Source organism: Homo sapiens, chromosome 1 (genome assembly GCF_000001405.40).
Source record: "Homo sapiens chromosome 1, GRCh38.p14 Primary Assembly".
Taxonomy (NCBI): domain Eukaryota; kingdom Metazoa; phylum Chordata; class Mammalia; order Primates; family Hominidae; genus Homo; species Homo sapiens.
The window spans coordinates 145,822,039-145,844,490 of record NC_000001.11 but is presented as its reverse complement, the minus strand read 5'-3'; the positions used below and the strand labels follow the sequence as shown (position 1 = coordinate 145,844,490).

The window sequence follows — 22,452 nt, the reverse complement described above, 5'->3', positions numbered from 1 at the left end:
CCTTCCTAGCCTCTGGTAACTACCAATCTATTCTTTATTTTCTTGAGATCCACTTTTTTAGCTCCTATGTGAGACAGAACATGCAATATTTGTTTCTGTGCTTGGTTTATTTTACTTAACATAATGACCTCCAATTCCATCCATGTTGCTGCCAATGACAGGATTTCATTCATTCTTATGGCTGAATAATACATTTTCTTTAGCCTTTCATCTATTGATGGGCACTTAGGTTGATTCCATGTTTTGGCTATCGTGAATACTGCTGCAATAAACATGGGAGTGCAGGTATCTTTTTGATACATTGATTTCTTTCCTTTTGGAGATATATATATACCCAGTAGTGGAACTGCTGGAGCATAGTTCTGTTTTTAGTTTTTTGAGGAACCTCTGTAGTCTTCCACAGTGGCTGTACCAATTTACATTCCCAACAGTGTACCAGGCAGGGCTCTCCTTTTTCCACATCCTCACTAGCATTCATTCTTTCTTCTTGATAAAAGTAATGAATTGGGGTGAGATGTTATCTCATTGATTTTGATTTCCATTTCTCTGATTAGTGATGTTGAACATTTTTTGATGTATCTGTCGGCCATTTGTGTATCTTCTTTCGAAAACTACCTATTAAGATCTTTTGGCCATTTTTAAGTTGGATTGTTCTTTTTGCTATTGTTTGAGCTCCTTATATATTCTGGTTACGAATCCCTTGTTAAGATAGTTTGCAAATAAAGCATCCTCATCTTTCAAACTATACATTGTCACTCTCTGTGTTCCCTTCCCTGCCTGACCCTTTTCCCTTTCTGGCCTCTCTGTACATAGTGTTTACTCTTCTACTGTAGCACCCCTAATACTTCCTGGTACTTATGTACTTATTTGTCTCCTCCTACTAGACTGTATGCTCAAAATTTATTAATCTTTATATCCCCAAGGCTTACCCCAGTACTTAGCACAAAACAGGTGCTTAGTAAATGATGGTGACTGGCTTGAGGGCAGAGATGGTGTCTTATTTATCTATCCTTGTATGTTGTGTTTAGTATGGTGGCTGGCAATTGTTTGACACTCAAGTGTTTAAACAATTAGAAAACACATTGGTGAGAGAAAACTGAAGATATTATAAAACATCTAACTGCTTTAAATGAATTAAAGCTGCTGGGACAAATTATATCCGTGATACTGAGAGAGAGAATTTAGCGTTGCCAGTTTTAAGGAACCATGGAGAAGAGGAAGGCGCTAATTTACTGTGTGCTTACCATATGCCAGGCATTGAGCTAGCTGTTCTACATACACAGTTTCAGATGTGTTAGAAGCCTGGAGCTGGCAAATGTGGCTTCAGTCCACAGATTCTAGTGTGACTGCTTGGGACAATCCACCTGCTAACCCTGAAAATAATTTTTTCTTCTACTCTGTGATAGTCTTTCACATTCCCTACACTGTGTGTGTTAAAAATTACAGTTCATCAGCCTGGGCAACACAGGGAGGCCCTGTCTCTACAAAAAAATAAATAAATAAATAAAAAATAGCTGGGTATGTGTGGTGCATGCCTGTAGTCCCAGCTACTCCAGAGGCTGAGGTGGAAGGACTGCTTGAGCTCAGGAGGTCAAGGCTGTAGGGAGCTGTGATTGCGCTATTACACCCCAGCCTGAGTGACAGAGTGAGATCCTGTCTCAACAACAACAAATTATCTATCTATCTATCTATCTATCACCTATCTCAACAAAATAAAGAACAGGCATAGACATCTGAAAATAAAATTAACTTCTTAGGAAGTTTCCTATTGCCAGGGATATAGGTAACCATAGGTGTGGGTAACTTCTTTATGGGAACAGATGCATCTGATAGATGATTAACCTTGTTGATTTAAGGTTCTTCCCACTGCCAAGATTTGATGAGGGGAGACTACAGCAATGGATCTAAATATGCCAAATTCTTTCAGGTGTATCCTGGGCTGCAGGGGATAGAGAGGGGGGTTTAGTTGAAGACTCTGCGACTTATCCCACTGCAAATAATGCATCCAGGCACCTCCTTTATTTTGCTTTCCATCCCCCCAGATCTTCTGAGGAAGATGCTTCTTCTGGATCACTGTCTCTTCATGGTGCACTCAATGTAAGACTCCAGCAGGAAGATGGTTTCGTCCACCTGGATCTCACTGGCATCCAACCTGAGTGAAAAGTAAAGGCATTTGCCTAGACTGAATGTTCATTAGCATATTTAAGATTAGAGGTTAGGGTGGGTGTGGCCATGGATAACTGCTTGGTTACCCTTGAGAGTGGATGGAAAGAAAGCAGGAGAACCAGTAGATCATTTTGCTATTTACCGAGCATCTTTATGTGCCAGACACCATGCAAACTGCTAAGAATACAAAATACAGAGCCTCTGTCCTGGGGGAAGGTAGTCTTCATTTGCAATCAGGAAAACGAACGTAAAGGCACAGGTATAAAAGGACCTAGTGTGTTTTAAAATAGCAAGAAACTAAGAGTGTCTGAAGCTTAAAGTGAGTGGTGATTAGGAAGAAATGGAAGCTTCTTCAGCCTGACAAAAGCCATCTAGGAAAAACCCACAGCTAACATCATACTTAATGGTGAAAGACTAAAAGCTTTTCTCCTAAGATCAGAAACAAAACAAAGATGTCTGCTTTTGTACTTCTATTCAACCTTTTACTGGAGGTTCTAGCCAGGGTAATGGGGCAGGAAAAAAAAAAAGTAAAGGCATCTAGATTGAAAAGACAGAAGTAAAACTCTCTCTATTCATGGATGACATAATCCTATTATAAAAAATCTCAAAGAATCTGCAAAAAAACTACTAGAATTAATAAATGAATTTAGTAAAGTTGTGGGATACAAAATCACAACACCAAAGTTGGTTGTTTTTGTATAACACTAGCAATGAACAATCTAAAACTGAAATAAGCGACCACTAAACTAGTATCCAAAAAAATACTTAAGAAATAAATTTAATGAAAGAGGTGCACAAATTGTGCACTGAAATGTGAAGGTCTAGGAAAGAGGTGATGAAGGCCTGCGTGTGGACCAAGATGAAAGGCCAGATTTGAGACACATGACTCAAGTAAAATTAAGCCAGCGCAGTGGCACTTGCCTGTAGTCCCAGCTACTTGGGAGGCTGAGGCAGGAAGACTGTTTGAACCTACGAGTTCAAGGCCAGTCTGGGCAACACAGCCAAAACCCCGTCTCTTAAAAAAAATTTATCAGTACTTGATGAACAAGAGAGTGTATATGGTGATGGAGAAGAAGCTCAGAACATCTTCAGAATTGCTAGTTTACAAAAATAGGTGGATTAAATTCTGTTAAGTGAGCTGGAGGAGACAGTGAGTTTAGGTTTGCTCATGCTAAGCTGGAGGGTTACAGGAGGTCAAAATGGATTTTCTGGATGGTATTCTGAAATGCAGGTCTGAAGTTTATGATGCTTACTTGTTGACATTACGTTTCAGGGTCTCTAGCTGCTGACGTTCAGGAGCTGTGATCATCTCCTCTATTTCTTGTAACTGTGCTTCCTCTGCACCAGTAGCCTGCATAGATGCAATGATGGCTTCTACCCTCTGAGATTTTTCTAGTAGACGCCTGTCAAACAAACACAACTCTGAGACATCTTCCCTAACCTGGGAGATTCTCTTACCACGTGTGTCTGAGGCACTACCCACCACCCTTTACCATTTTCCTGATCAAAGTAGATAATGTCACCTTCTAAGGACATTTTCTACAAACTTATTTGGAAATATAACTTCACTCCTGAAATTCTTATTGCCTCTCATTTGCACTTAAAAGTTTGGTGCTTTTGTACGTTTCTCACAAATTTAATCTGAAAAATTATTTCACTGGGAGCATGTTAGAAAAGTGTAGACTAATGCATGATTTACACTAATCTAAGCCAATGATTCAATGCAAGTAGACTGGTTGCTATCTCTACTGGTTCCTACTTCTCAAAAAAAAAATTTTTTTTTTTGAGATGGAGTCTCACTTTGTCGCCCAGGCTGGAGTGCAGTGGCGTGATCTTGGTTCACTGCAACCTCCACTCACTGGGTTTAAGTGATTCTCCTGCCTTAGCCTCCCGAGTAGCTGGGACTATAGGTGCCCGCCACCATGCCCAGCTAATTTTTGTATTTTTAGTGAAGACAGGGTTTCACCATGTTGGCCAGGTTGGTCTCAAACTCCTGACCTCAAGTGATCCACCTGCCTCAGCCTCCCGAAGTGCTGGGATTACAGGCATGAGCCACCCTGCCAGGCCCAGCGTCTATTGATTCCTATTTCTAGAGGAAATTTCCCCTGAGGCCCTTGATCTTGAAAGATGTAAATAACTCAACTGAAAATGTTACTTACTTATTCTCTTTGGTTTCAAATTGCCTCCTTTCTATCAAGTTGGCTATGCTCTGAGGAAAGAGAAGACAGACAAGGAATGCACATAGTTCTATTTCAGCAGCTCAGGGCGAAGTGGGCACATGAGGGGTACTTGACCGTATGGAGGAAATGGGGAGAAGGTCCAGATTGAGTTACCTTGTAGCACCTGTGCAACAACATTCGGGCAGCTGACAGGATGTTCACAGTATATAAATAGAAGGTCCTGGATGGGGCATGGTCTGGTGTTTTGGGAATTTCCTATTTGTCCAATAGAAAGAAAAATAGCAGAAATTATACTGTTTTAGAACTGGCAAAGCACACACTCATTCTACCTGGAGTTACTTAGCCCTCCTTTTTACTTACACTTTCCTGTTTCCTAGTCATTCAGTACCTGTGTTTATTTTATTTATTTATTTTGAGACTGGGTCTTGCTCTGTTACCTAGGATGGAGTGCGGTGGCATGATATCAGCTCACTGCAACTTCCACCTCCGGCTCAAGCAATCCTCCCACCTCAGTCCCCCAAGTAGCCGGAACTACAGGCATGCACCACCATGCTCCGCTAATTTTTTAATCTTTTGGGGGTGGTGGAGACATGGTCTCACTATATTTTCCAGGCTGGTCTTGAATTCCTGGGCTCAAGTGATCATCCCGCCTTGGTTTCCCAAAGTGCTGAGAATACAGGTGTGCCCGGCCCAGTCTTTGTGGTTTATGTCATAATCAGTCAAATGGAGAGCTGGGCTTCCCTGTTTTTTCCATTTGACTGTCAGCATCCTGAGCTGGGGAAGAAAGGGAGGGCAACTAACATTTACTGAACAACTCTATGTGCCAGGTAAATTCTATTTGATCTTTACAAAAAGTCGTATTATTATTATTTTTGAGACAGAGTCTTGCTCTGTTGCCCAGGCTGGAGTGCAGTGGCACAATGTTGGCTCACTGCAACCTCTGCCTCCCAGGTTCAAGCAATTCTCCTTCCTCAGCCTCCTGAGTAGCTGGGATTACAGACACACGGCACCACGCCCAGCTAATTTTTGTATTTTTAGTAGAGACAGGGTTTCACCAGGTTGGCCAGGCTATTCTCGAATTCCTGACCTCAAGTGATCCGTCCGCCTAGGCCTCCCAAAGTGCTGGGATTACAGGCATGAGCCACCGCACCTGGCAACCATATTATTTTTATTATCACCATCCATCACTGTTTTATAGATGGGAAACGTGGTAACTTGCTTAATGTAACTGGGTAAGGCAGAGCTGTAATCTGACTCCAAAAATCCATTCTATCTATTTACTCATATGCTCTACTAAATAGCCCTGCAAAGACTCAGTTAGATGTGTTGATAAATTTAAACTATAACAGAATTAAGGCTTAAGGAAGGACAGAAATGAGAAGAGAAAAAAAGGCAGGGTGGGTTTGGGGTGATGTCCTGGCTCTGCCTCTTTTTTGTTTTTTGTTTTTTTTGTTTTTTGAGACAGAGTCTCACTCTGTTGCTCAGGCTAGAGTGCAGTGGCTTGATCTCGGCTCACTGCAACCTCCCCCTCCTGGGTTCAAGAGAGTCTCCTTCCTGCCTCAGCCTCCCGAGCAGCTGGGACTATAGGCGTGTGCCACCAGGCCCAGCTAATTGTTTTGTATTTTATTAGAGACGGAGTTTCACCATGTTGGCCAGGCTGGTCTCGAACTCCTGACCTCAAGTGATTTGCCCACCTTGGCCTCCCAAAGTGCTGGGACTACAGGCGCGAACCACCGTGCCCGGCCACCTCTTTCTCACTAGGGCAGTTAAGGCCCCAAATTATCCTCCAAGTGCTCGCTATGTCTCTGTGAATCATGTTTTTCTGTCTCAGAGCTGGATATAGAGTTTGCTTGGGGGTTCAGTATGTTTGCCTAAGAAGCTTCTCTCACCCTAGGCCAGCTTTGCTGGTTGGCAATTATTACGCCCTTGGTTGGTTACCTGGAGTGACATGAAATTTTCTGAGAGCATCTTATATAGCATATCCTTTGCCTCCTTTGCAGGAATCATTGCAAAGTCTTCCACTTGCTTCTGCTCTATGTGTTTCTTCTGCAAAACTAGACGGAATATTCTAGCACAGCGAGACCCAAATCTGGAAAGGAATGAAGAAAGCAAATGGCATGCTAACATAGATCAGCTTTAGTTCCCAGTCATAGATGGGGTGGTTGTTCTATTCCATGTGTGAAGCCAGTACCAGACAGGAACAGTGATCAGAAAATTATTCTACAGCTCCATAGGTTGGTGATGGTAAGGCATCACCAACTGCTGTTAATCATAAGGCAGTCACCAACTGCTGACTCATTTGAGTGCCACAGTTCCTACATTTGTAAGCAAAGGCTTTAGGGAGGCTGGTTAATTTGCATCGGTAGGAATTAAACAGTAGGTTATTTTAAGGTAAAGAGCAGTATTACATGAGATCCATAGGAGTCCAGTGAAAAAATGGGGAAAAGTATGCCAAGGTGTGGTTATATTGGTGGCTTACATAATGATCAAATTACTTCACTGGGGATAGGAAGTATGTGATCCCAAACCCAACCAGTGTCCCCCTTACCTCTCCTGTACGACGGACTCCAGAGTGGCTGTGGCTAGGGATGCTAATGCCTTATGGAGGTCTTTATGTAGAGAATTAAGGTCACTCAGTAATGTTTTGGCCTAGTTATTGTGATCTGAGTTTTATTCCTAAGTTTCTAATTTATAATTAAATTTTAAATGCTATTTTGTTTTTCATGTTATAATTTATGGTTTCAGTCATGGTACATAAATATTCCAAAACTTTAATACAAGTGTTTAAGTAAGGGTTTTGCTTAACTAAAATTTGGTTGATTAAAAGTCCTTTTTCCTTTTCTTTTTTGAGACAGGGTCACCCAGGTTGGAGTACAGTGGCATGATCTCAGCTTACTGCAACGTCTGTCTCCTGGGCTCTAGCGATCCTCCCACCTCAGCCTCCTGAGGAGCTGGACTACAAGCATGCATCGTTACAGCTGGCTAGTTTTTGTATTTTTGGTAGAGATGGGGTTTTGCCATGTTGCTTAGCTGATCTTGAACTCCTGGGTTCATGCAATTCACCTGCCTCAGCCTCCCAAAGTCCACCATGCCTGGCCTCTTTTTACTTCATCATCAATGCAGTTCACTGAAAATTCATAGAAAAATTTATTTAACAATTACTTCAATTTTCTAATTTATTTAGTATAATAAACATTACCAAATCTTTCTTTCCTAAGGCACCATTCTGATTTATAGGTCAGGCTGCCTGACTCTAAGGAAATAACTGGTAAGGATACTGATGACATACATTCCTCCACCACTGTCGCCAGACTTTCCAACAAACTCTAGCTATTAAGAAAAAGAGAGAGTGTTAACTGAACGGAAAGTCCAGTGATTCTGTTTCCAATGGAACAAATCTGACCAAAAGTCTGCAGCAGGTAGCCCTCCTATCAAATGATGTGGAGAAATTGTCTGGGCTGGCTAGGTAGAGAATAACTCTGCAGGAGGATGACACTAGGTATCAGTGCAGAAATAAATTATCAACAGTACAGGCTAAAGAAAAAAGAAAAAAAGCAAAAACAGACTTACTGGATCATCTGCCAGCAGAGTGAGATACTGATCAAGAACTTGCTTAGAGATGTTATAGCCAACAGGTAGGGATCTGAAGATCTATGGAGCAAAGGACACTTAAAATGGGTTTGGGAACTTAGAACTCCTGACCTTACTGAAATAAAGATGTTTTAGGCCGGGCACAGTGGCTAAGGCCTGTAATCCGAACACTTTGGGAGGCTGAGGCAGGTGGATCACTTTGGGTCAAGAGTTGGAGACCAGCCTGACCAATATGGTGAAACCCCGTCTCTAGTAAAAATACAGAATTAGCTGGACGTGGTGGCGCATGCCTGTAATCCCAGCTATTTGGGAGGCTGAGGCAGGAGAACTGCTTGAACCTGGGAGGCAGAGGTTGCAGTGAGCCGAGATTGCGCCAATGGACTCCAGCCTGGGCTACAAGGGCGAAACTCCGTCTCAAAAAAAAAAAAAAAAAAGTTTTAATTTTAGTTACCACAAAACTGTCCAAAAATATTCACAGCAGGATTGTTTGTAAGAGTAAAAAACTAGAAACACCCAAATGACCAGTACCGAGTACACTAAAATAAAATATAGCACGGCCATTAAGTGGAATATGATACAGTCATTATGAAGAGTGAGACAAATCTACAGAAACTAACATGAAAGGAAGTTTTACATACACTGTCATATAAAAAATCAAGTTATAGAACAGTATGACTAGGTTGGGTGTGGTGGATCACGACTTTGTAATGCCAGCACTTTGAGAGGCTGAGGTGGGAGGATCACTTGATGTCAGGAGTTCGAGACCAGCCTGGCCAACACAGTGAAACCCTGTCTCTACTAAAAATACAAAAATTAGCCTGGCGTGGTGGCATGTGCCTGTGATCTCAGCTACTCGGAAGGATGAGCAGGAGAATGCCTTGAACCCAGGAGGCGGAGGTTGCAGTGAGCTGAGATTGCGCTACTGCACTCCAGCCTGGGTGAAAGAGTACAAGACTCTGTCACAAAAAAACAAAAACAAACAAACAAAACCCAACCAAAAAGCCATATGAATAGTCCCATTTTGGGGTTAAAAAATACATATACCCACATATATGTTAGAGTATGCAAGGTCTGAATAAAGATATATACCAAACTTTTTTTTTTTTTTTGAGACAGAGTCTCACTCTGTTTCCCAGGCTAGAGTGCAGTGGTGCGATCTCAGCTCACTGCAACCTCCCATTCCCGGGTTCAAGCGATTCTCCTGCCTCAGCCTCCCAAGTAGCTGGGATTACAGGCGCCCATCACCATGCCTGGCTAATTTCTGTAATTTTAGTAGAGATGAGGTTTCACCATGTTGGACTATGCTGGTCTTGAACTCCTCAGGTGATCTGCCTGCCTCGGCCACCCAAAGTACTGGGATTACGGGTGTGAGCTGCTGCGTCCGGCCTTTTTTTTTTTTTTTTTTTTTTGAAATAGGGTTTTGCTCTGTTGTTTAAGCTGGAGTGCAGTGGCATGATCATAGTTGACTGCAACCTCAACTCTTGGGCTCAAGCAATCCTCCTGCCTCAGCCTCTCGAATAGCTGTGACTACAGGCATATGGCACCACACCCAACTAATTTTTTAAAAAAATTTTTTGTAGAGACGGGGGTCTTGTCATGTTGCCCAGGTTGGTCTTCAACTCCTGGCCTCAAGGGATCCTTCTGCCTCAACCTCCCAAAGTTCTAGGATTACAAGTGTGAGTCACTGCACCTGGCCATAGAACTTTAAAATAAACAATATAAAAATATAGGAATATTTAAACACAGTCATGCACCATATAACATTTTAGTCAACAACGGACCGTGTGCAGCTGTGGTCCCATATTATACTGGAGCTGAAAAATTCCTACTGCTTTGTGATGTCATAGCTGTTGTAACATCATAGCACAATGCCGTTGTGAAACACATTACTCACATGTGTGGTGAGGCTGGAGTGCAGTGGTATGATCTTGGCTCACTGCAACCTCTGCCTCCTGGGTTCAAGCAATTCTCCTGCCTCAGCCTCCCGAGTAGCTGGGACCACAGGCGCATGCCACCATGCCCGGCTAATTTTTTTTTTTTTTTTTGTATTTTAGTAGATGGGTTTCACCATGTTGCCCAGGCTGGTCTCAAACGCCTGAGCTCAGGCAACCCACCAGCCTGGGCCTCCCAAAGTGCTAGGATTACAGGCGTGAGCCACCCCGCTCAGCCTGTTACTGGTTTTTAATAAATACAGTGTAGCCTGAGCGTGTAGACCATCACATTCACATTAATCTGCCATTCATTCACTAACTCCCACAGGGCAACTTTTAGTCCTGAAAGCTCCATTCATGTTAAGTGCACTAAACAGGTGTGGTTTTTAATTTTTCATACCATATTTTTACTGTACCTTTTCTGTGATTAGATGTTTAGATACACAGATGCTACTGCGTTACAACTGCCTACAGTATTCAGTACAGTAACATGCTGTACAGGTTTACAGCCTAGAAGCCATAGGCTATCCCGTTCAGTCTAGGTGTGCTGTAGGGCTACACCATCTAGGTTTGTGTTAAGTACACCCTATGATGTTCACACAATGATGAAATCACCTAACGACACATTTCTCAGAATGTATCCCTGCTGTTAAGTGATGCATGACTGTATTACTATGAAAGTAATATAAATAACACATATTGGATATATTAAATATCGATATTTTAAGTACAGGGGGTCAAATAATGTCCTGAATGCCAAGGCTCTCAGAGTCCAAATTGTGGATTCTTAAAATAATTAGGAATAGGCTGTACTTGACGAATAGATACTTTGACTAAGTGAATAGTGTAGATTTTTAAAAGCTGGATCCTAAGAGACCAAACATTTCAGTGCTCATCACTTGAAGATAATCCCTGCTCCACATCAAATGCCCTTCTCTTTCAAGGCTCAGACCTCAACCCAAACTCAGGATCTGTGTATAATAAACGTTGATAACACCCAAGAATCTGTCAGAAAGTTAGTGCAAGAACATGAAACTCACCTCATTGGAAGACAATGGCTGGGTGAAGGGAGCACTAGAGGAAGTGGTAATCTCACTCATTCGGAGCATGGTTCGCACAATCTCGCTGCTTGTCTGTTTGAAAAGTAAACTAGAATTCAGAAATCACAGTGCTGCCCCTGGCTCTATGTGCCAATGGCCATATCTGACAAATAAGTAAATGTCCCTGATGACCAATGACAGACCCACTTAGGTATTACCTGGTCCATCCTGTTAGCAACTGCGCTCACAATGGCTTGGTCACGGAAGTGTTGGTGGAATCTGTCAAGGTTGGCCTGCCAATAAATCCCATCATCTGGAATGGGCTGAGGAAAAGATTTAGAGAAACATTTAGCTATAGTGTAAAGTTTTCTGGTGAGGAGCTTGGATTTAATGGTTCACCATTTCTTTTCCTACACAGTAACAATTACATTGGTTGGAAAAAAATCATTCAGTCATGTAGACTGGTGTCTAGACAAATTCCGACTTCAAACAGGTTTTCTAAGCTCATCTCCAATCTTTCTCTCCCTATTTTATTATTTAACATTTATTTTAATTTTTTTCTGAGACGGAGTTTTGCTCGTCACCCAGGCTGGAGTGCAGTGGCATGATCTCGGCTCACTGCAACCTCTGCCTCTCGGGTTCAAGTGATTCTCCTGTCTCAGCCTACTGAGTAGTTGGGATTACAGGCAACCACCACTGCGCTAGGCTAATTTTTGTATTTTTAGTAGAGTTGGGGTTTTACAATGTTGGCCAGGCTGGTCTCGAACTCCTGACCTCAGGTGATCTGCCTGCCTCGGACTCCAAGTGCTGGGATTATAGGTGTGAGCCACCACATCCGGCCTTTCTCTCTCTATTTTAACTCTTCTCCATTACTTTCAAGTCTCCAACTTGACCCTTCTTCCTTCTCACTCTCGGCAGATGACTTTGCCTCTCATTTCACAGAGAAAATAGAAGACACTAGGCCAGAACTCACTCAGCTCTGTGCACATCCTCACCACATTTCTTTTTTGTTCTTGATTCATATTTTCACTCACTTTTATCACAGCTGAAAAATGCTCCTTTTACCTAAGGTTAATGCCCATATTGGTATTCCAAATCTTACTCTCTCATTCATTCTTGGGGATCCAGCTCTATTTTACCCTGTCCTCTAACATCTTCAGGCTTTCCTTCTCTACCGCCTTCTTATCAGCCTTTACCCTGTCCAAGTCTCTTTCTACTCTAGAATTCTCTTTCAACCCTATGCCTTCTCTTCTTTTCCTTAGTGTCACAGCCAAGCTTCTCAAACAGTTGGCCATCTCAGTTGTATCTCTACCTAGATTTACGCAACCCATTTCCACTATTGTACTGAAATGTCAATTGTCACTCGCATTCCAGTGAAATTCCACAACTGTCCTTAAGGATTCTATGTTGTTAAGTTCAAATAATAATTTCCACTTCTGATCTTATTTAACCTTTTGGAAGCATATGACATGGTTGGACATTTTTTCCTTCTTAAAACTTTATGTGGCTCCTTGGTTTTATGACACCATTTTTTTTTTCCTTTTAAAGACAGGGTCTTTGTCACCCAGGCTGGAGTGCAGTGGTGTGATTGTAGCTCACTGCAGCCTTGACCTCCCTGGGCTCAGGTGATCCTCTCATCTCAGCCTCCCAAGCAGCTGGGACCACAGGTGCGTGCCACCACGCTTGGGTAATTTTTGTATTTTTCTGTAGAGACGGTCTCACCATGTTGCTCAGGATGGTCTCAAATTCCTAGGCTCAAGCGATCTGCCCGCCTTGGCCTTCCAAAGTGTTAGGATTACAAGTGTGAGCCACTGGGCCTGGCCGACACCATTTTTTCTTGGCGTTACTTTGAACCTTTCTGGCTACCTTTCCTCAGTATCCACAGATTCCTCTTTCAGATCCCAACTGTAATCCTGGTGTTTTGTCAGGGTTCTGTCCATACCTTTCCTTTCTTTTTACTCTACATGCTCTACTTGGGTAATTTTATCTGCTCTCCAGGCTTCAACTATTGATGCATTTCCAAATCTGTTACTCTATCCTAGAACTCTCTCTTTTTTTTTTTTTTTTTGAGATGGAGTTTTGCTCTTTCGCCCAGGCTGGAGTGAAGTGGCACAATCTCCGCTCACTGCAACCTCTGCCCCCCAGGTTCAAGCGATTCTCCTGCCTCAGCTTCCCAAGTAGCTGGGATTACAGGCCTGCGCCACCATGCATGGCTAATTTTTGTATTTTTAGTAGAGACGGGGTTTCGCCATCTTGGCCAGGCTGGTCTCGAACTCCTGACCTCAGGTGATCCACCTGCCTCTGCCTCCCAAAGTGCTAGGATTACAGGCATTACCGCACCCGGCCTATCCTGGAACTCTCTATTATGCTCCAGATGCATAGACTCAGCTGCCTATTTGACACTTCCATTTGTTCCCCAAACTGTTCTGTTTTGTAAGTTTTCAGGTAACTACACTATAACCAACCCAATTTTTTTTTTTTTTTGAGACAGGGTCTTGCTCTGTTGCCCAGGCTGTAGTGCAGTGGCACCATCATGGCTCACTGAAGCCTTGACTTCCTGGGCTCAAGTGATCCTCCCACCTCAGCCCCTGAGTAGCTGGGACTACAAACATGTGCCACCAGGTCTGGTGTTTTTTTTTTTGGTACAGATGGGGTCTCACTATGTTGTCCAGGCTGGTCTCAAACTCCTGGGCTCAAGTGATTCTTCTACGTCAGCCTCCCAAAATGCTGGGATTACAGGCACGAGCCACTGTGCCTAGACAACCCAATTTCTTTTTTTTTTTTGAGATGGAGTCTTGCTCTGTCACCAAGGATGGAGTGCAGTGGCGTGATCTCAGCTCACTGCAACCCCTGCCTCCCAGGTTCAGGCCATTATCCTGCCGCAGCCTCCCAAGTAGCTGTAATTACAGGCACCTACCACCATGGCCGGTTAATTTTTGTATTTTTAGTAGAGACGGGGTTTCACCATGTTGACCAGGCTCATCTCGAACTCTGACCTCAGGTGATCCACCTACCTCGGCCTCCCAAAGTGCTGGGATTACAGGTGTGAGCCACTGTGCTTGGCCAGCCAACCCGATTTCTTAAGCTACAAACTTGGGTATCACCCCTAGTCCCTTGCTCTCCATAATCTACCACCCCATTACCAAGTTCTATCTATTCTTTATATTTATCAGATGTCTACTTTTCTTTCTCCTATCATTACCTTATTTCAGACTCTAAATCTTGGCCCATCTGGATTACTACAATAGCCTCCTAACTGGGTTTTTTTTTTTCCCTTTAAAACATAGCAGACACTATAAAAGGAGTAACTGGGTTTTCTCCTTCTAATTTTGTTTTGCATCATTCTTCCCATTTCTTAGAGTAGTGCTTTTTTTTTTTTTAAACTGTTTTGGGTCACAGTTCCTTTGAAGAATGTAATGAAAGGTACGGAGAGCTTCACTGAAAAATGCACGTAAGTATAACTGGACTCTCTGAAATCCATCCATGGAGTAGAACAAGTTAGGAACTGCTGTGCTATAATAATCTTTCTAAAATATAAATCCAGTCACTTCATTTCCCTGCTTAAAATCCATCAATGGCTCTCCTTTGCCTTCAGGATAAAGCCCAAACCTCTTAGACAAACATGTACACAAATAATAAATAATTCCAGTTATAAATATAAATGCTGTGAAGTATATGAAATGAGAAATGTGGTAGGAACTAGTGTAGGAGTGGGCAATGGTGCTTGAAGTCTATGAAAACAGCATTTAAGATAGAAATGATAAAAACAGAGACCACTACATGAAGATCTGGGGACAAACATTTGAAGCCGGAGCCAAAGTCTAAAGACCAGAAAGAGTTTGACATGTTTAAGAGATAAAGTCAGTAGAGGGAACACAGTGAGTAAGATGGAGACGGGGCAGAGGTGAGGTTGAAGAGCCCTGTCTCCAGCAGATCATACGAAGACCTAGATCACGTAAGGCTTCCTAGCCCGTACCTTGGATTTCTTCTAAAAGTAAAGGAAAGCTATTAAAGGAGTCTAATCAGTGGATGTGTTGTTTTGTTTTGAACAACTTAGAAAGTCATTTTGGCTACTAAGTAGGTAAGAATGCAGCTAGGGAGACCATTAACGAAAGCGTTTGCAAAGAGTTGAGAGATGGCAGTGAAAAGATGAGAAATGGTTGGATTTGAGGTAATTTTGGAAACTGGGCTGATATGTTTTACTGTGAGATTAGAGGGTTCCAAGGATTTTGGCTTAAGCAGAAATGGTGGTGTCCTAGGCGGCTGGCCTACGTGGTAGTGTCTTTTACTAAGATGAGGAAGTTTATGAGGGAGCAAGATATTTGGGAGGAGGAATCAATTATTCTGTTTTGGCCACACTAAATTTGAGATGCTTACTGACATCTTTATAGGTACGCTAAGAAGGCATTTGAATATGAGTTCAGGCCTATGTATAGTTTTTAGACCCATTTTTCATCACTGGCCCCTGTAGGTCTTTAGGTTCTCGCCATATTGAGCAACCTAAACTTTTTCTAGGCCCCTTTTTACATAAGCTGTTACCTCTGTTCAATGAAAGAATTAAGTTAAGGCTCAGAAGGGAGACAGTAATGGTTCATTCTTTGTTAGTCTATTCCTAATATTTAATGAGGTTCATAATCCTACTGCTTCTTAGCTCAGGAAGCTTTAAGCTCTCTTGGGGCTTGTTATCTGAGTGCTCTTTCTGGCCTGCTTCAGGGTGAGGACTTCTAATCAAGAAGCCCCATTACCTCCTTGTTATCTGTAGTATATTTTGGTCTCTTGGCCTTGGGCTCCCCAGCAGCATCTTCATCAGATGATCTCCTCCTTTTACCTTTCCCTGCCAAACAAACAATTAAACACTTAGACTATATCTCATATGATGACAGGAAATGACCAAACATGAGAGCAGGTGTCTTTCATTCCAAAGACATCTGTAGCTGCCTCTAGATCAGAGTTGCTTAGGGGGCTGAAGAGCTATAAGAAACTCAAGTAACTGATGAAATAATCTGAAACTCAACATGTTCAAAAAGAGTCTTATAGTCTTTCTCCTCCAATGCTCTCTTTCATGGCCAGTGATATCATCCTCCCACATGTGCAAGTCAGACACACAGATGTCACTCTTAGTACTTGTTTCCTTCACCCTCTCTCTTTCATTTTCCACCAGTCTGTCAACATTTACCTTTGCCCCATTCTCCCATCCTTTCTGTAGACAAAAAATCTTTTGAAAGTGCAAATTAGATCATGTCATTTCCTTAAAAATCCTTCAGTGGTCTTCCTTTGCTCTTAGCATAAAGAACAGATGCTCTATAAGGTCTTACTTGATTCAGCCCCTGCCTGTCTCCCATCCAAGTACTAAGCAGGTTGATCCTGATTAGCTTCTGAGATCAGACCCCTGCCTAGCTATGTCTCTAACCTTACCTCATGCCTCTCTTGCTTTGCTTACAATGCTTTAGCTATACTGACATTCTTTCATTTCCTCAAATGCTATTTTTTTACTACATACTATTCCCTCTGCCAAAAATGCTTTTCCTGTTACCTCACTGTTAGCTTCTACTTCAAATCTTAGCTCAAATGCCACCTTCTCAAAGAAACATGAGGCCTAAACTCCCAGATGAATCCCGTCTCTCGTTATATATTTTCTTTTCTTTTTTTTTTCCCGAGACAGAGTCTCACTCTGTCACCCAGGCTGGAGTACAGTGGTGCAATCTTGGCTCACTGCAATCGCTGTCTCCTGGGTTCAAGCAATTCTCCTGCCCCAGCCTCCCGAGTAGCTGGGATTACAGGCGTATGCCACCATACCTGGCTATTTTTTTTTTTTTTTTTTTTTGAGACGGAGTCTGGCTCTGTTGCCCAGGCTGGAGTGCAGTGGCACGATCTCGGCTCACTGCAACCTCCGCTTCCCGGGTTCATGCTATTTTCCTGCCTCAGCCTCCCAAGTAGCTGGGACTACAGATGCCCGCCACCACACCCAGCTAATTTTTTGTATTTTTAGTATAGACGGGGTTTCCCGGTATTAGCCAGGATGGTCTCGATCTCCTGACCTCGTGATCCGCCCACCTTGGCCTCCCAAAGTGCTGGGATTACAGGCGTGAACCACCATGCCCGGCTACCTGGCTAATTTTTATAATTTTAGTAGAGATGGGGTTTCAACATGTTGCCCAGGCTGGTCTCGAACTCCTGGCCTCATGCAATTCGCCTGCCTCAGTCTCCCAAAGTCTCCATTATATATTTTCATAACACCTCATACTTTTCCTTCATGGCACTTATTACAGTTTAATTATATACTGATGTGATTTTCTGATTAATGCATGTCTCATAATACTATGACAGTTCCTTCATAGGAATATTTCCTTCATAGTACTTATCACCGTTTAATGATATATCGATGTGATTTTCCGATTAATGTATGTCTCCTATACTAAAGCCCCATGGCAGAGACCATGATTTTTTCATTGTTATACACCACGATGTCTGGCACATAGCAAATACTTGGTAAATACAATCACATTTCATACACTTGACAATCAAGAAGAATCCACAATTAAGGCAAGTCACAGTTCCAGGGGTTAAAATTCCTTACCTATCAAGCTGAGTTTAGGAACCAGGTACATGTCCTTTTCATTAATGACAAGTGTGGGGGCAGGTGGTGGTGGCCCAGGGTCTGAATTCTCAGTGGTAGGTACCGAAGGGCAGCGTTGTACAAAGTGTGTGTCTGCCAGTCGCACAAATGTGTTTGATACTTCAGCATAGTCCATGGTCTTGCCATCTGTATAACAGGAGGAAAAAGGCAGATGAGATGGCCTAAGATAGCTCAGGGTTCACTCCCATAGCCAGCTGATCTATGCTTTTGTTAACAGCTATGGATACCATACTGACCCTCCATGGTCTCTGTGAGCCGGTCTGCCACTTTCTTCACAACAGCTGACATTGTCAGTTTGCCGTTCAACAGAAGCTCCTCAACAATCAGCTCTCCAGTGTCACTGTACAGAGTTTTGGTAGTATAGATGTACCGGGGATATCTAAGCATTCGCAATACCCGGCTGCACTGGGCTTCATACTCCACCACACCACGTTTGTGCACTTGATAACTCACCAGGTTATGTTGGACGAGGACACACAGGGCTTTCTTCACCTAAATGGAACATAAAGAGAAGAAAGAGAGGAAAGACCTGAAGATATAGCTCATTACTGCTGGCAATTTTTTGTCCAACAGCTTAGTAAGCATCAGAAAATGGCTAGATAATTTCTGCACTTATTTCCTCTCTCCACTGGAGGAGCTAATAAGAATCACACATCAATACAATAAATCAGGAAGATTCCTTGCTATATTTCCTCTGATCCTTATCTCTCAAAACACAATTTACTTTCATCATTCTCATTCCTTAAAGGCAGTACTGAGATTAATAGACTTATTGTGAATAAATGAGGTACGGCATGGGAAGAGCAAAGATTTGCCTAAAAGCTGTGATGAACTAGGAACACTTTGAGAAACAAAATGTTGATGTCTAAGTCTCATCCTTTTCTCCCCGAAATAACATTGTTCTGCTCCAAGGGCAGGCTTTCTTCATTTTTCCTTTTCTGGGGTGAGAAGAACAATATTCAAAGGTGGGTGAAATAAATTAGTGAAAGAAATGAGAGAAAATGAATGTCATTTAGACATACCTGATCCAGTGATGTTCCTGTGTCATGGGCAATTACTCTTAGTGGCTGGCTGCCGGTTCTTATCAGATGGACTCCAATTTTTTCTACAATCTCTCCAAAATGCTCTTGCAGCAACAAAGAACAGAGCTTAATTTCTGCTTGAGTCATTGTACTGGGGAGTCTGAGAGCTAGGGAAAAAACACCAAAATGGTACAATAGAAAGTCTTTCACGCTGGAAGCAGAGCTGCTGAGTGTAAATTCATGTATTCTTTCTGGAGGGCAATTTGACAATACATATCAAAAAGCCTTAAAAATCTTGCATATCTTTGAAACAACAATTTCTTTTTGGATATTGTGTCCAAAGAAAGAAAAAGCTAATAATAATGAAGTCATTAGTTCTCTTTATAATACCGACTTAGTGGAAACAATCTAACGTCTAACAATAAATGATGCCATACCCATACAATGGCATACTACACCAACATTTAAAGTTATTTAGTACGATGCGTATTCATGTAGAAAATTATTCATAATAGGCTGGCGCGGTGGCTCAGGCCTGTAATCCTAGCACTTTGGGAGACCGAGGTGGGCGTATCATGAGGTCAGGAGTTTGAGACCAGCCTGGCCAATATAGTGAAACCCCTTCTCTACTAAAAACACACAAAAAAATTAGCTGGGCGTGGTGGCGGGTGCCTGTAATCCCAGCTACTAGGGAGGCTGAGACAGGAGAATCGCTTGAAGCCGGGAGGCAGAGGTTGCAGTGAGCCGAGATCGCGCCACTGCACTCCAACCCGGGCGACAGTGCGAGATTCTGTCTCCAAAACAAAAAAAAACAAAAAAAATTACTCATAATATATTAAGTGACAGAAGCAAGCTGAAAAAATATAAAAATTCAATTATTGTAAAAAAAAAGGAAAAATGTATGCATAGGAAAAGACTATGCATCAAATTTATCTCTATGGGATTATGCGTGATTCTGATTTTCCTTAAAGATTGGGAGATGATTTTGCGGTCTGTCACAGACCTTAGTTTCTACACTTCACTGCTTGGAAGAATTAAGGTCACTGTTCACAGCTCGGTGGGAGTGAACAGGCAGTGTTATTCTCAGTCCATAAAGGAAATGATAATTTCGAAAAAGAAATTTAGGAGGTAAAGGACTGCTTCTCAACAGGGTGTGTCAAACAGGAGATGAGGTTACGTTGTTTGCAGGACAGTATTCAATTCTTAAACTTCTACTCCTTGACAAAGTTGACACAATCAGAAACGGACGTAGTTAATTTTATGATTACTTCCTTATTACAAATTGCTACCAAACATTGTTTACTTATTTCTTCCAATTCCTAAGAAGCCAAGTCTTTGCCTCCCCGTCCCCACCCCGCCTCAGTATCACCAGAGACCTATTTCGTCCATCCACATATCTTTGGAGAAGCATTCCCAGATCCTTTGCCATCCTCGGAAAGGGCTTCCAAGGCGCTTGGCTCCTAGCTCTACACTTCCTTTACACAGGTTCCCGTTTCGGACGTGGTCTCTTGGTCCAGTCAGTGCCGCCACGTTCAGACAGCATTTTCCACTAACCTCAGGGTCAGCGCAATCCGGGGGCTCCAACTCCAATTCGGCTGAGCTTCCCGCGACGGCTTCCTACGGCTCCCGCTGGCCTTCTAGGCCGAGGTGGAGCCCACCGCCCTTTCTAGGACGCGGATCGCCACCGAAGAAGACGCGGAAAAGCAAAAAGCGCGTGCCACTCTACCCCAGAGTTTCGGCGGCTTCCGGGGACGCTCTTTCTTTCTTCTCGCTGGAAGACTGGAGGACCAGCGAGGGGCTGTTTGTGGAGCCGGCGGGCGGGCCGTTTGTCTCTCCTTCCTGCGCCTCTTTGGTGCTGGGAGGCGGGCCGCAGGGTAGCTGTTGGCGCCGCCGCGTTTCTGGGCCTGGCCAACTCACGTGACCGACGCGGGCTCTGAAGCGGTGGGCCGCACCGAGGCGGCGGCGGCGGCGACGACTGCAGCTCGGGAGGTAGCGGCCTGGCGAGGGACGGGCCGGCTGCCCTCTCGGACGGCCGCGGCGGAGGGCAAAAATGGCGGAGGCTTCGGCGGCCGGGGCGGACTCGGGCGCCGCTGTAGCCGCCCACCGGTTTTTCTGCCACTTTTGCAAGGGCGAGGTCAGCCCCAAACTACCGGTAAGAGCGCTGTGTTCTCTATACTTGGGAACCTCATAGATTCCTGGCCCCGATTTCCCGGAACTGGGTCTGGAGCTTTCTGCACATCATTGACTCGCCCGACATCGGTCTGCCGAATACCTGCTGCCCACTTCTAAGCCGCCGGCCCTAAACCCTGGGCATCACGGCCTCGGCCCCGTACCTCCTGCCCACCTCTTAATTCATCCTGGGCTGCTCCACCTGACCTCACCTCTTTACCTCCCGTGTCCTTAATTTTTTTTTTTCTTAGCAAGTTTCCCTCTGATAACTCTCCCCTCAATTTTCTTGCATTCTTTTATACCTGGTCTTTTTCCTACGATGACCTCCCCCCACACTTCTTCCACTGTGTCTTCTCACCTTCCTCTGTGTTCTTTTCCACTTTTCACCCCCCACCGCCCCCGCCACCTCCCTTGTCAGTGAAGCGAAATAGCGGATTGCTGAGGATTGTCACTCTTCGGTTTTTTCTAGGGAAGGAAGCACAGAAAGGGGGTTGGAAGGTATCTGTGGGGCGAAAAGGGGGATTTTGCTCTTCAGTGGTTTCCAGGGTCCTTGTGACAGTGAAGACAGCAGCGTACTAATGACTTGCAGACGGTCTGCACTCCTATCACTGTTGAAGGAAATGGCTTTAGGAAGAAGGCAGGACGTACTGTTTCAACTTCGTTTATTTTGGTTGTCATGCTGCCAGTGTCTTTAATATCATTGTTCCGCCCCCCGCCCTGTCCCTTTCTTCACCTAAGAAAAAGAGCCGGGACAGAATGTTGGGGATGCTTCCTCTGACGTGAAATTGGTTTTCACGAGTTTCTGCCAGAGTGTTAGCCCCTTGAGAGGCAGTGCTGTGGTTGGGAAGAAAACACTTTTGTAGGTCAGGCGCGGTGGCTTAGGTCTGTAATCCCAGTGCTTTGGGAGGACGAGGCAGGAGGATTGCTTGAGGCCAGGAGTTTGAGACCAGCCTGGGCAACAGAGTGAGACCCCTCTCTACAAAAACAAACAACATTTATGCAGCATACTAGCCAGCACCAGCATCACAAACCCAGAAACTGTTTTGGGTTGGGTTGTAGCTACTACGAGGAGCTCCCCCAGAGTGAATGTCAATCCTGTCCTTGGCCAACTGTCTTTATGGTTGTTCCTTTCCTTACAAGTGTCCAGGTTCAGTCTTGTGATAGAGTGGCAACATAATGTATGTTTCTATTTATGGTGTCTCAGATACAGTGTAGGAGAAAACCTTCTGAAGTGAGTCTGTATATCTTATTTCTTAGAAACACAAATGGAGTCCAGTGAATAAGTGCTTAAAGGGTGTTTTATAGTCTTCTCTCACTCAAAAGTTTTGTTTAAGGCATTATGATACATTCTTTCCTCTCTACTTGCCGCACCCCCTACTTCAGAGTCATAGTTTCATCTAAATGCTACTTAGCTGTTTTTCTTTTTTCTTTTTTTTTTTTTGAGACAGCCTCTGTCTATCACCCAGGAGCATGATTTCGGCTGACTGCAACCTCCACCTGCCGGGTTCAAGAGAGTCTCCTGCCTCGGCCTCCGGGTAGCTGGGACTATAGGTGCACGACCACCGCACCCTGGCTAATTTTTGTGTTTTTAGTAGAGATGCAGTTTCACCATGTTGGCCAGGCTGGTCTCGAACTCTTGACCTCAAGTGATCCACCCGACTCGGGCTCCCAGAGTGCTGGGATTACAGGCGTGAGCCACTGCTCCCCGCCTAAATG

At 43.6% G+C, this 22,452-nt stretch overlaps 2 protein-coding genes across 10 annotated transcripts in view, besides 2 other annotated features; one reads left to right on the top strand and one right to left on the bottom strand.

Annotated features, from left to right (window-relative positions):
• Positions 1-88: 88 nt before the first annotated feature.
• Positions 89-20,291, bottom strand: POLR3C (RNA polymerase III subunit C). 7 transcript variants are annotated; one of them, NM_006468.8, is made up of 15 exons: positions 20,122-20,291; positions 18,568-18,734; positions 17,782-18,037; positions 17,486-17,671; positions 15,654-15,742; positions 11,127-11,231; positions 10,909-11,001; positions 7,917-7,997; positions 7,625-7,676; positions 6,895-6,955; positions 6,285-6,435; positions 4,500-4,601; positions 4,326-4,375; positions 3,420-3,569; positions 89-2,152 (listed from the first exon to the last, which is right to left on the bottom strand). In NM_006468.8, exons 2-15 carry the CDS (start codon positions 18,712-18,714, stop codon positions 2,071-2,073), a joined length of 1,605 nt encoding a protein of 534 aa, NP_006459.3. In that variant the 5' UTR covers positions 18,715-18,734; positions 20,122-20,291; the 3' UTR covers positions 89-2,070. The 7 variants fall into 7 exon arrangements, 6 of the variants coding, with proteins under 6 accessions (NP_006459.3, NP_001290385.1, XP_047289859.1 ...); NM_001303456.1 differs by lacking the exon at positions 20,122-20,291 and adding an exon at positions 19,944-20,046; XM_047433903.1 differs by lacking the exon at positions 20,122-20,291 and having other exon boundaries at positions 17,782-17,885; positions 17,999-18,037; positions 18,568-18,621.
• Positions 15,832-15,891: an enhancer, noted in NCBI's record as "active region_1611". NCBI's record gives its function as "activates an Ori minimal core promoter by ATAC-STARR-seq in GM12878 lymphoblastoid cells {active_cell/tissue: GM12878}" and the evidence as "EXISTENCE:reporter gene assay evidence [ECO:0000049][PMID:35858748]".
• Positions 20,031-20,430: an enhancer, noted in NCBI's record as "active region_1610". NCBI's record gives its function as "activates an Ori minimal core promoter by ATAC-STARR-seq in GM12878 lymphoblastoid cells {active_cell/tissue: GM12878}" and the evidence as "EXISTENCE:reporter gene assay evidence [ECO:0000049][PMID:35858748]".
• The window catches only part of RNF115 (ring finger protein 115), an 85,228-nt gene continuing 83,171 nt past the window's right edge, over positions 20,396-22,452 (top strand). For all 3 annotated transcript variants that reach the window (XM_047418027.1, NM_014455.4, XM_047418028.1), the window contains exon 1: positions 20,396-20,719. Coding sequence is in view for 2 of the 3 variants with exons in the window: in NM_014455.4 (NP_055270.1) it covers positions 20,618-20,719 (102 nt within the window). In the remaining variant the exon portion in view is untranslated. The remainder of the gene's footprint in view (positions 20,720-22,452) is intronic.

Coding starts and splice junctions, on each gene's coding strand:
- POLR3C (NM_001303456.1), bottom strand. Junction 7,998..10,908: donor AGCCATTGTCTTCCAATGAG/GTGAGTTTCATG, acceptor TTTGCTCCATAG/ATCTTCAGATCCCTACCTGT. Junction 6,436..6,894: donor GAGTCCGTCGTACAGGAGAG/GTAAGGGGGACA, acceptor ATTCCTTTCCAG/ATTTGGGTCTCGCTGTGCTA.